The following is a 12397-nucleotide window of genomic DNA, read 5'->3' on the forward strand; positions in this document are numbered from 1 at the left end:
GGTCAATGAACTTTAGGCATTAAGGAGGATCAAGAGAGATGTAAAAAAAAATGTCAGCTACTAGATGGCTGGGAAAATAAAATGGAAAAAACTAACAACATAAGACAATATCTATAAAATGGTAACAAGTGTTATCTGCTAATAGGACCTGCTTCTATCTTAGTAAAAGTAGCCATCAGGGGATCCCAGACAGCCACCAGACTGGTTTGCTGAATCTTCAGAAATATTGATAACTTCACAATGTCCACTGTATCATGAAGGAATTGAATGTGATAGCTCAGGATGAGATCAAAGAGGGCACTGCCTTCCAAATTTATGCAAAGAAAAATATACATAGTGACCCTTCTTAGCCACTACCCTCTTTCCACTATTATAGCTCCTCTCTTACCGTAAGAATCTGGGATCTTTATCAAGAGAGAAAAAGCAAGAGAGCTTTGGACATTTCTGGAGTCCTAGCTGGTGTCCTTTTCTTCCTCTTGTGGGAATTGGCATCTTGTGTGATAAACGTCCTCGGATAGATACAGGGTCTCACACTCAACATGAAACTACCAGGGATACTCACTAATATTCATATGTGTGATTTCTGTGAATGGAGCAGACCCATAGCAAGACAAGACCTATCCCAACATTGTATTGACCATGCCTAATAAAGGGAAGATGAAGCATTCTGTTATAACTGTATTCTTGGCACTGATCATAGGTGAAACAATGCAGAAATTTGAAGAAGGTATTATCCATAAAGGGAACTAAATGCAAATCAAGCCAATGCTTTTTAGACTAAGGAAATGCAGACTCCTAATAATGTGTCCCTTTAAGGGACAAAAGTCAGTGCCTAGTGTAGCTCTGCTCACTTTCATTGGCATAACCCACTTTTATGCTTATTCAACATGGACTATTATAGTTATAGTAGATTTAGAGATGTGAGTTAGCAAAGAAGTAGTATAAAAGGAGAATTTCCAAGTTGAGTCTGGAGGATAGGTAAGAATTGAATCATTGCAAAGGAAGAAGGAAGGAGTGGGTAGAGGATCAGAAGTCAGTCATCAAGTAAGTCATCATCCATACCTGAGAGTTGGTATTGGGGTCGTAACAGAGGTAAAAACTGAAGCCCAGGACCTGGGTAGATCAGAAGGATGTCCTGGAGAGAGTAATGGCTTTGCAGCAATATGTTACGGCTAAAAGAACAGAGTGGGAAAACTGAGTAGGTACCGAGTCAATGACATTAGGCAGAACCAAAAACCCAAGCAGAATTGCCACAGATATAAAGTGGTATGGAGGCAAGAGCAGAGAGAAAAGGAGATGAGACAACAAGGGGAATCTAAGGAATTTAAATCTGTGAACCAGAAGAATGATGGCATAGTTGATGGACTTGGGAAAGTCAGAAAGGGAACTCAATAGAGAGCGTGGGAGAGGATCAGAGATGAAGCTGCAACACTGGAGAGAGTGCATGTGGAGAAAGATGTATGAATACAGGGGGCCATCCAAGGAGAGATGTGACAGACAAATGGAGAAGTTATGGTCATTTTAAAGGCCCTTCATAAACCACATGCAGAACTGTGGTTTTCAAAGATAGCTCAGTGAAAATGAAAAACCAACCAAAACCAAAAATATCTTGTCACAAATAGTGGTTCTCAGTACTTCCAGTGGAGAAAAAGTTGCCAACTACAGGGACCTTTGCGAAATGTCTTTTATCTTCCATCTAAATTTTTCATTTGCTTTCCTCTATGTCAAAACATAAATTCTTATTCTCTCACAATTTTCTCTACATTTAGTTGTAGTTTATCCAACCTTAGAGTATGATTTGGTTCCTTCTGTTTTTTTTTTCTAAACAGAGCAAGTCTTCATTTGTCTACAAGAACAAAGAAAGATAAAGTGGTACAAAGAGATGGAAACATTTTGGACGCTTTTAGTGGTAGTTTCTATTTGACCTGACATTACACTATACTCTGTTTTGATGGATGAATTTCTCAAGGTTCTTTATTCATATCAATATTAAAATTGGCTCAGACTCCCACAACACACACCATTGTCTAGCTAGGGAGAGTGAGGTGAAAACGGGTCTCCATCATCCCAGTAGCTATTACAAAGCCAAGTGACACTAAAAATGAGATGTGATGGAAAAATGTTACCAGAGACTGGATTACAATGGTACATAATTTTTATTGCTAATATTTATTAAGTACTTTCTAAGTTTCAGGCACGCTGCCACATGTTTATCACAGTCTGAAGAACTGTGAGATTTTCAGTGATCCAGATAACAGACATTTCAAAACCCAGTGGCACATTTTGTAACTACTACCTATTTCCTGTGAATAAAGTAAGTGGCCTTCTTGTTTGTTTGGTGACCATTCAGAAGATCCAGGGTCCTTGCCATCAGTCTCTCTAATATGCAGCCCACATTTTAAAGATTCTGTTGCCCACCCACAATGTATTAAAAATATCCTGATGAGAAAAGTTTTAATCAATCAAATCAGGCTTGATGTAGTGGGATTTTGTGGACAAATCTTTGTTCTCAGCTGTATAATAATTACAAGCTGTTTCACCAGTGGATAAGGAAAGGATTATTCTCCTCTTTGAAAATGGTAACTTTATAATTACATGTATTTACTTGCCTTATCAGAACAGAACTCACCAACTGAGACAGAGGATTATTTTTGTTCAAAAGACTCTTGCGTGAAATGAACAGCTACATATTTGGGGGAAATTCAGCCTTTGTAACCAATTGTTTCTGGTGTGAATAAAGAACAAATTATCTGAAATGAGGGTTTTTTTTTTTTCCTTTTTGAAACGTATAAAAACCTTGGCACAAAAATTGCCTAGACGGTTAACTTGGCCCAACCCATGAAACTGTTGAGAAATGTACATTTATTGACAGCTCTATACAGTCAGTGTACAAAGCGTTTTGGCCAAACGCAGTAAACAAAATGTTTTGAGTGGTTTTACAGTTCTTTATCAGAATCCACCAACATCTTATAATAATTTTTTAAGAATTCCTTTTATTACTGTCCTATTTAAATCTGCAGCAAACTTCTATGTCTCAGATATGTCTGAAGAGGAATATGCTTGTTTCTCAGGTGTTCATTATGACTCCAAGTTGAGCTCTTAATATATTAATAATAAACCTCGAGATAATTTGTAGACTGGATACCGTTTCTCTTAGCCAAATCTTCTCAATTTTATTTTCCACCCAATACCAAAAGGTTTGTTTCAGCAACATAAACATTTTGTTTTTCTTTTGCCAAATGTCTTTAAAAACAATTATCCCACCCCCTTCATTCTTACAAATCTCTCTAACATTCCCTAAACTTTCTCTAAAGTTGTTGTGAACATAAACATATTCTGTGTCTTTCGCTTTCTTGACTAGGCACTGTACCTCCTCTGGGTGGACACTTTCTTATCCTTGATTCTGAAATACTGATAAACTGGAGCCACAAATAGAAGAGTACAAATCGTGTCCTTCTTAGCATGGACTCGGTATGCTAAGAAGGACACAATTTGCACTCCTATTCGCTACATGATGGTATGTGATCCTTTGGTCTGCTGGAGGAGAGAAAGAAACCTTTGGGTATTAAAGAGTTTAGAGGCAGCCATAGAGTTTTCAGCTGTGTCCCATATGCTTCGTGGCTATTCATTCTTCAAGTCTTCAGTTATGCTAGGTTCTAAGACCAAGAGATGAGAGCAGTAATAATGCCTTTACCTCCTATCAAAAAGGCAGCCTCGGTAGATTGACTGTGGGCCGAGTAGCTTTGAAAACATTTTCATTCAGAATATTAGAGCCCAAGATTTGCTGCTAACACCCAGAATACATTGAGAACGGGCCCTTAGCTGAGTGGTGGAATTGTTCTGGGCAGAGTGAATGCAGATCCCCAGCAGAGCCAAGGTCCAGTTCTGTGTCTGATGATGTCCCCTGGCCTCTTTGCACTTTTCTGGATTTAGGCATTCTCTCCGCTGCTCGTTTCCAACGTGTGTTCTGTACGGAGTTAATTTTCCATCTTCTATTCTTTACTCAAGCCCTGTCCCCTTGCAAGGTAAGATGGACCTGTTTCCCACCTCCACCCACAGCCTGTCTGAGGTCGTTCTGTTGCTGCTGTCATTGGAGACGTGGCTCTTGGAGGAGGGTCTGATGTTTTTGTCAGTGCATGCCCCTGTCCTTCTGTATGTTTGAGTCTCATTGTCCTTTCTCTTCTTACTCTCCAGGTCTCCATTTTCTACATGTCCTGTTCATCACTTTGCTCTCTGCCTCACCAGTGCCCACTCACCTCTTCATCTCCTTCCTCCTTCACTGACCCCTGTGGACATGTCCTTACTAGGACCAGTTTCACTTCACAGTGACATCTTTCACCTCTCCTGCCTTATCACTCGCATCCTCTCCACCTTTTCCCTGCAGAACCCCCTTGCTCCTTCCTCCTGGTGTTCAATTCTTCATCATCAGCTTAAACCCAGTAAGACATTGAGGGAATCCCATGCTGCCGTCAAGCCTCAAATCTGCTCCATTGTCTAAAAAACACTTCTTAATGCTTAAACTTTACCACACGTAAACATTAGACAAAGGCTCACAGGACCTGATCAAAGTATTAGTTAGGCTAGCTTTCTTAGATCGAATATATCAATTTCCAGGTAAATAATCTACTATATTTGGCCCTTTGGGTTTTCATTTTACCCCTAGGATAATGTGAGTAATTGAAATTTATCCCATGTTAGACATCCACTGCCTTACCTTAGAGAAAACGTCCTAATACACTTTAGGCAGGGGCAGAGGGGTGCTCCTTAAGGTAAAAACCACTTTCATAGTTAATAGTGGCAGTAATAATAACAATAAGAGAAGACTATGTTGGCATTTGTACTCATAGGTTGAAAGTAATGGTAGGCAAAACCGCTGGCATGTTATCATGGAATCAAGGCAGTGGCACCATACTGTGCTAGTAGTCACTGTACTTTTTTTTTTGAGATGGGGTCTTGCTAAGTTGCCCAGACTGGAGAATATTGTCATGATCATAGCTTGCTGCAGCCTTGAACTCCTGGGCTCAAACAATCCTCCTGCCTCAGTCTCCTGCTCAGCTGGGACTAGAGGCATGCATCACTACACCTGAGAGATCACTGTACTTTTTACTACCACATACTCACAGTAAGAAAAAAAAAATTGGGGAAGGCAGCCAAGATGGCCGAAATGGAACAGCTCCGGTCTACAGCTCCCAGCGTGAGCGACGCAGAAGACGGGTGATTTCTGCATTTCCATCTGAGGTACCGGGTTCATCTCACTAGGGAGTGCCAGACAGTGGGCGCAGGACAGTGCGTGCAGCGCACCATGCACGAGCCAAAGCAGGGCGAGGCATTGCCTCACTCGGGAAGTGCAAGGGGTCAGGGAGTTCCCTTTCCTAGTCAAAGAAAGGGGTGACAGATGGCACCTGGAAAATCGGGTCACTCCCACCCGAATACTGCGCTTTTCCGACGGGCTTAAAAAACGGCGCACCAGGAGATTATATCCCGCACATGGCTCAGAGGGTCCTACGCCCACGGAGTCTCACTGATTGCTAGCACAGCAGTCTGAGATCAAACTGCAAGGCGGCAGCGAGGCTGGGGGAGGGGTGCCTGCCATGGCCCAGGCTTGCTTACGTAAACAAAGCAGCCAGGAAGCTCGAACTGGGTGGAACCCACCACAGCTCAAGGAGGCCTGCCTGCCTCTGTAGGCTCCACCTTTGGGGGCAGGGCACAGACAAACAAAAAGACAGCAGTAACCTCTGCAGACTTTAATGTCCCTGTCTGACAGCTTTGAAGAGAGCAGTGGTTCTCCTGGCACGCAGCTGGAGATCTGAGAACGGGCAGACTGCCTCCTCAAGTGGGTCCCTGACCCCTGACCCCTGAGCAGCCTAACTGCGAGGCACCCCAGCAGGGGCAGACTGACACCTCACATGGCCGGGTACTCCTCTGAGACAAAACTTCCAGAGGAACGATCAGACAGCAGCATTCGCGGTTCATGAAAACCCACTGTTCTGCAGCCACCGCCACTGATACCCAGGCAAACAGGGTCTGGAGTGGACCTCTAGCAAACTCCAACAGACCTGCAGCTGAGGGTCCTGTCTGTTAGAAGGAAAACTAACAAACAGAAAGGACATCCACACCAAAAACCCATCTGTACATCACCATCATCAAAGACAAAAAGTAGATAAAACCACAAAGATGGGGAAAAAACAGAGCAGAAAAACTGGAAACTCTAAAAAGCAGAGCACCTCTCCTCCTCCAAAGGAATGCAGTTCCTCACCAGCAACAGAACAAAGCTGGACGGAGAATGACTTTGACGAGTTGAGAGAAGAAGGATTCAGATGATCAAACTACTCCGAGCTACAGGAGGAAATTCAAACCAAAGGCAAAGAAGTTAAAAACTTTGAAAAAAATTTAGATGAATGTATAACTAGAATAACCAATACAGAGAAGTGCTTAAAGGAGCTGATGGAGCTGAAAGCCAAGGCTCGAGAACTACTTGAAGAATGCAGAAGCCTCAGGAGCCGATGCGATCAACTGGAAGAAAGGGTATCAGTGATGGAAGATGAAATGAATGAAATGAAGCGAGAAGGGAAGTTTAGAGAAAAAAGAATAAAAAGAAATGAACAAAGCCTCCAAGAAATATGGGACTATGTGAAAAGATCAAATCTACGTCTCATTGGTGTACCTGAAAGTGACGGGGAGAATGGAACTAAGTTGGAAAACACTCTGCAGGATATTATCCAAGAGAACTTCCCCAATCTAGCAAGGCAGGACAACATTCAGATTCAGGAAATACAGAGAATGCCTCAAAGATACTCCTCGAGAAGAGCAACTCCAAGACACATAATTGTCAGATTCACCAAAGTTGAAATGAAGGAAAAAATGTTAAGGGCAGCCAGAGAGAAAGGTCGGGTTACCCACAAAGGGAAGCCCATCAGACTAACAGCGGATCTCTCGGCAGAAACTCTACAAGCCAGAAGAGAGTGGGGGCCAATATTCAACATTCTTAAAGAAAAGAATTTTCAACCCAGAATTTCATATCCACCCAAACTAAACTGCATAAGTGAAGGAGAAATGAAATACTTTACAGACAAGCAAATGCTGAGAGATTTTGTCACCACCAGGCCTGCCCTAAAAGATCTCCTGAAGGAAGCACTAAACATGGAAAGGAACAACCGGTACCAGCCGCGGCAAAATCATGCCAAAATGTAAAGACCATCGAGACTAGGAAGAAACTGCATCAACTAACGAGCAAAATAACCAGCTAACATCATAATGACAGGATCAAATTCACACATAACAATATTAACTTGAAATGTAAATGGACTAAATGCTCCAATTAAAAGACACAGACTGGCAAATTGGATAAAGAGTCAAGACCCATCAGTGTGCTGTATTCAGGAAACCCATCTCATGTGCAGAGACACACATAGGCTCAAAATAAAAGGATGGAGGAAGATCTACCAAGCAAATGGAAAACAGAAAAAGGCAGGGGTTGCAATCCTAGTCTCTGATAAAACAGACTTTAAACCAACAAAGACCAAAACAGACAAAGAAGGCCATTACATAATGGTAAAGGGATCAATTCAACAAGAAGAACTAACTATCCTAAATATATATGCACCCAATACAGGAGCACCCAGATTCATAAAGCAAGTCCTGAGGGACCTACAAAGAGACTTACTCCCACACAATAATAATGGGAGACTTTAACACCTCACTGTCAACATTAGACAGATCAATGAGACAGAAAGTTAACAACGATACCCAGGAATTGAACTCAGCTCTGCACCAAGTGGACCTAATAGACATCTACAGAACTCTCCACCCCAAATCAACAGAATATACATTTTTTTCAGCACCACACCACACCTATTCCAAAATTGAACACATAGTTGGAAGTAAAGCTCTCCTCAGCTAAAGTAAAAGAACAGAAATTATAACAAACTGTCTCTCAGACCACAGTGCAATCAAACTAGAACTCAGGATTAAGAAACTCACTCAAAACCGCTCAACTACATGGAAACTGAACAACCTGCCCCTGAATGACTACTGGGTACATAAGTAAATGAAGGCAGAAATAAAGATGTTTTTTGAAACCAACGAGAACAAAGACACAACATACCAGAATCTCTGGGACACATTCAAAGCAGTGTGTAGAGGGAAATTTATAGCACTAAATGCCCACAAGAGAAAGCAGGAAAGATCCAAAATTGACACCCTAACATCACAATTAAAAGAACTAGAAAAACAAGAGCAAACACATTCAAAAGCTAGCAGAAGGCAGGAAATAACTAAAATCAGAGCAGAACTGAAGGAAATAGAGACACAAAAAACCCTTCAAAAAATGAATGAAACCAGGAGCTGGTTTTTTGAAAGGATCAACAAAATTGATAGACTGCTAGCAAGACTAATAAAGAAGAAAAGAGAGAGGAATCAAATAGACGCAATAAAAAATGATAAGGGGGATATCACCACCGATCCCACAGAAATACAAACTACCATCAGAGAATACTACAAACACCTCTACGCAAATAAACTAGAAAATCTAGAAGAAATGGATAAATTCCTTGACACATACACCCTCCCAAGACTAAACCAGGAAGAAGTTGAATCTCTGAATAGACCAATAACAGGCTCTGAAATTGTGGCAATAATCAATAGCTTACCAACCATAAAGAGTCCAGGACCAGATGGATTCACAGCCGAATTCTACCAGAGGTACAAGGAGGAACTGGTACCATTCCTTCTGAAACTACTCTAATCAATAGAAAAAGAGGGAATCCTCCCTAACTCATTTTATGAGGCCAGCATCATCCTGATACCAAAGCCTGGCAGAGACACAACCAAAAAAGAGAATTTTAGACCAACGTTCTTGATGAACATCGATGCAAAAATCCTCAATAAAATACTGGCAAACCGAATCTAGCAGCATATCAAAAAGCTTATCCACCATGATCAAGTGGTCTTCATCACTGGGATGCAAGGCTGGTTCAATATACGAAAATAAATAAATGTAATCCAGCATATAAACAGAACCAAAGACAAAAACCACATGATTATCTCAATAGATGCAGAAAAGGCCTTTGACAAAATTCAACAACCCTTCATGCTAAAAACTCTCAATAAATTAGGTATTGATGGGACGTATCTCAAAATAATAAGAGCTATCTATGACAAACCCACAGCCAATATCATACTGAATGGGCAAAAACTGGAAGCATTCCCTTTGAAAACTGGCACAAGACAGGGATGCCCTCTCTCACCACTCCTATTCAACATAGTGTTGGAAGTTCTGGCCAGGGCAATTAGGCAGGAGAAGGAAATGAAGGGTATTCAATTAGGAAAAGAGGAAGCCCAACTGTCCTTGTTTGCAGATGACATGACTGTATATCTAGAAAACCCCATCGTCTCAGCCCAAAATCTCCTTAAGCTGATAAGCAACTTCAGCAAAGTCTCAGGATACAAAATCAATGTACAAAAATCACAAGCATTCTTATACACCAATAACAGACAGAGAGCCAAATCATGAGTGAACTCCCATTCACAATTGCTTCAAAGAGAATAAAATACCTAGGAATCCAACTTACAAAGGGCGTGAAGGACCTCTTCAAGGAGAACTACAAACCACTGCTCAATGAAATAAAAGATGATATAAACAAATGGAAGAACATTCCATGCTCATGGATAGGAAGAATCAATATCGTGAAAATGGCCATACTGCCCAAGGTAATTTATAGATTCAATGCCATCCCCATCAAGCTACCAATGACTTTCTTCACAGAATTGGAAAAAACTACTTTAAAGTTCATATGGAACCAAAAAAGAGCCAGCATTGCCAAGTTAACCCTAAGTAAAAAGAACAAAGCTGGAGGCATCACGCTACCTCAGTTGAAACTATACTACAAGGCTACAGTAACCAAAACAGCATGGTACTGGTACCAAAACAGAGATATAGATCAATGCAACAGAACAGAGCCCTCAGAAATAACACCGCATATCTACAACTATCTGATCTTTGACTAACCTGACAAAAAGAAGCAATGGGGAAAGGATTCCCTATTTAATAAATGGTGCTGGGAAAACTGGCTAGCCATATGTAGAAAGCTAAAACTGGATCCCTTCCTTACACCTTATACAAAAATTAATTCAAGATGGATTAAAGACTTAAATGTTAGAACTAAAACCATAAAAACCCTAGAAGAAAACCTCGGCATTACCATTCAGGACATAGGCATGGACAAGGACTTCATGTGTAAAACACCAAAAGCAATGGCAACAAAAGCCAAAATTGACAAATGGGATCTAATTAAACTAAAGAGCTTCTGCGCAGCAAAAGAAACTACCATCAGAGTGAACAGGCAATCTACAAAATGGGAGAAAATTTTCGCAACCTACTCATCTGACAAAGGGCTAATATCCAGAATCTACAATGAACTCAAACAAATTTACAAGAAAAAAACAAACAACCCCATCAAAAAGTGGGTAAAGGACATGAACAGACACTTCTCAAAAGAAGACATTTATGAAGCCAAAAGACACATGAAAAAATGCTCATCATCACTGGCCATCAGAGAAATGCAAATCAAAACCACAATGAGATACCATCTCACACCAGTGAGAATGGCAATCATTAAAAAGTCAGGAAACAACAGGTGCTGGAGAGGATGTGGAGAAATAGGAACACTTTTACACTGTTGGTGGGACTGTAAACTAGTTCAACCATTGTGGAAGTCAGTATGGCGATTCCTCAGGGATCTAGAACTAGAAATACCATTTGACCCAGCAATCCCATTACTGGGTATATACCCAAAGGACTATAAATCATGCTGCTATAAGGACACATGCACACATATGTTTATTGCAGCACTATTCATGATAGCAAAGCCTTGGAACCAACCCAAATGTCCAACGATGATAGACTGGATTAAGAAAATGTGGCTCATATACACCATGGAATACTATGCAGTCATAAAAAATGATGAGTTCATGTCCTTTGTAGGGACATGGATGAAACTGGAAATCGTCATTCTCAGTAAACTATCGCAAGGACAAAAAACCAAACACCACATGTTGTCACTCATAGGTGGGAATTGAACAATCAGAACACATGGACACAGGAAGGGGAACATCACACTCTGGGGACTGTTGTGGGGTGGGGGGAGGGGGGAAGGATAGCATTAGGAGATATACCTAATGCTAAATGACGAGTTAATCGGTGCAGCACACCAGCATGGCACATGTATACATAGGTAACTAACCTGCACATTGTGCACATGTACCCTAAAACTTAAAGTATAATAATAATAAAATAAAAAAAAAGAAAAAAAATTATTTCATTAAACCTCAACCCTTGATTACACATCTGTTTGATACTCTTTGTGACCAAATTATAAACACACATAAAGCACTTCTGCAGCATCTTGAACTGTTCTGAGGAAAAGTGTTCGTGCAACTGTCTGGGTATCAAGCTAAACTGCTCACTTTTCCATGAAATGCTGTTTCTTTCTTGGAATAAAGACTGACACACTATAGTTGCTCAGACTTGGTTAGCTGGCAGACATTTTCTTAAATATGAGTGAAGTGAGTCTGTCCCATCAAGGAAAACAACTTAACCATTTTGTGGCTGATAAAATTTGCACTATAAAGTCAAATTCAAATTCTAGACAATGTGCACCTGCCCTGTGAACTTGACAGCTTCCTACTAAAAAGCTTTTCTAATATGATGGTGGTAATATTAACAAATGTGATTTTTTTTATATTGTACATTGAAATGAGACAACCTTTGGAAGATCTGCATAATCACAAATTTTCTGGATCATCAGTGAATGATTTTGAACCATGCATGGATAAAACTCCCTTAATGTGTAACACAGACCAATGGGTTTTAATGGAATATGAAAAGTTCATCGAGATAGTTCCAGATTCCACATGGAAACTAATTTTCAATAAACTATTACCAATAGACTTTTAGTGTAGTACCAAAGAATATTCAGAACTATATGAAAAGAGCATTAAAAACTCCCCCTGGCTAGGTGTGGTAGCTTAAGCCTATAATCCCAACATTTTGGGAGGCTGAGGCAGGAGGATCACTTGAAGCCAGGAGTTCAAGACCAGCCTGGGCAACAAACAAACCCTGTCTCAAAACAAACAAACTAACAAACAAACAAACGGACAAAACTACTCCCATTTTGAAAAACACATATGTCTGTGAGGCCAGATTTTCTTCATATACTTCAACTAAAACATGTTATAACATTTTATGCAGAAACAGACATGCTAAATGTGAAAAGTTATTTACAAACCTGTAAAACAATGTCATTATTCTTACTAAAAATTTTTTAAAATATTTATTGCTATAAAATATATAATACATATGATATATAAAATATACCATAAAATATACAAATTATTTTTT

The 12397-nt window shown here is 40.3% G+C and overlaps 1 protein-coding gene across 4 annotated transcripts in view; it reads right to left on the minus strand.

The window, feature by feature from the left end:
• The window catches only part of SUCLG2 (succinate-CoA ligase GDP-forming subunit beta), a 294153-nt gene that overhangs the window by 27431 nt on the left and 254325 nt on the right, over nucleotides 1-12397 (minus strand). The window lies entirely within an intron of this gene.

The sequence above is a fragment of the Homo sapiens genome, chromosome 3 (assembly GCF_000001405.40).
Source record: "Homo sapiens chromosome 3, GRCh38.p14 Primary Assembly".
In the NCBI taxonomy this organism is placed as follows: domain Eukaryota; kingdom Metazoa; phylum Chordata; class Mammalia; order Primates; family Hominidae; genus Homo; species Homo sapiens.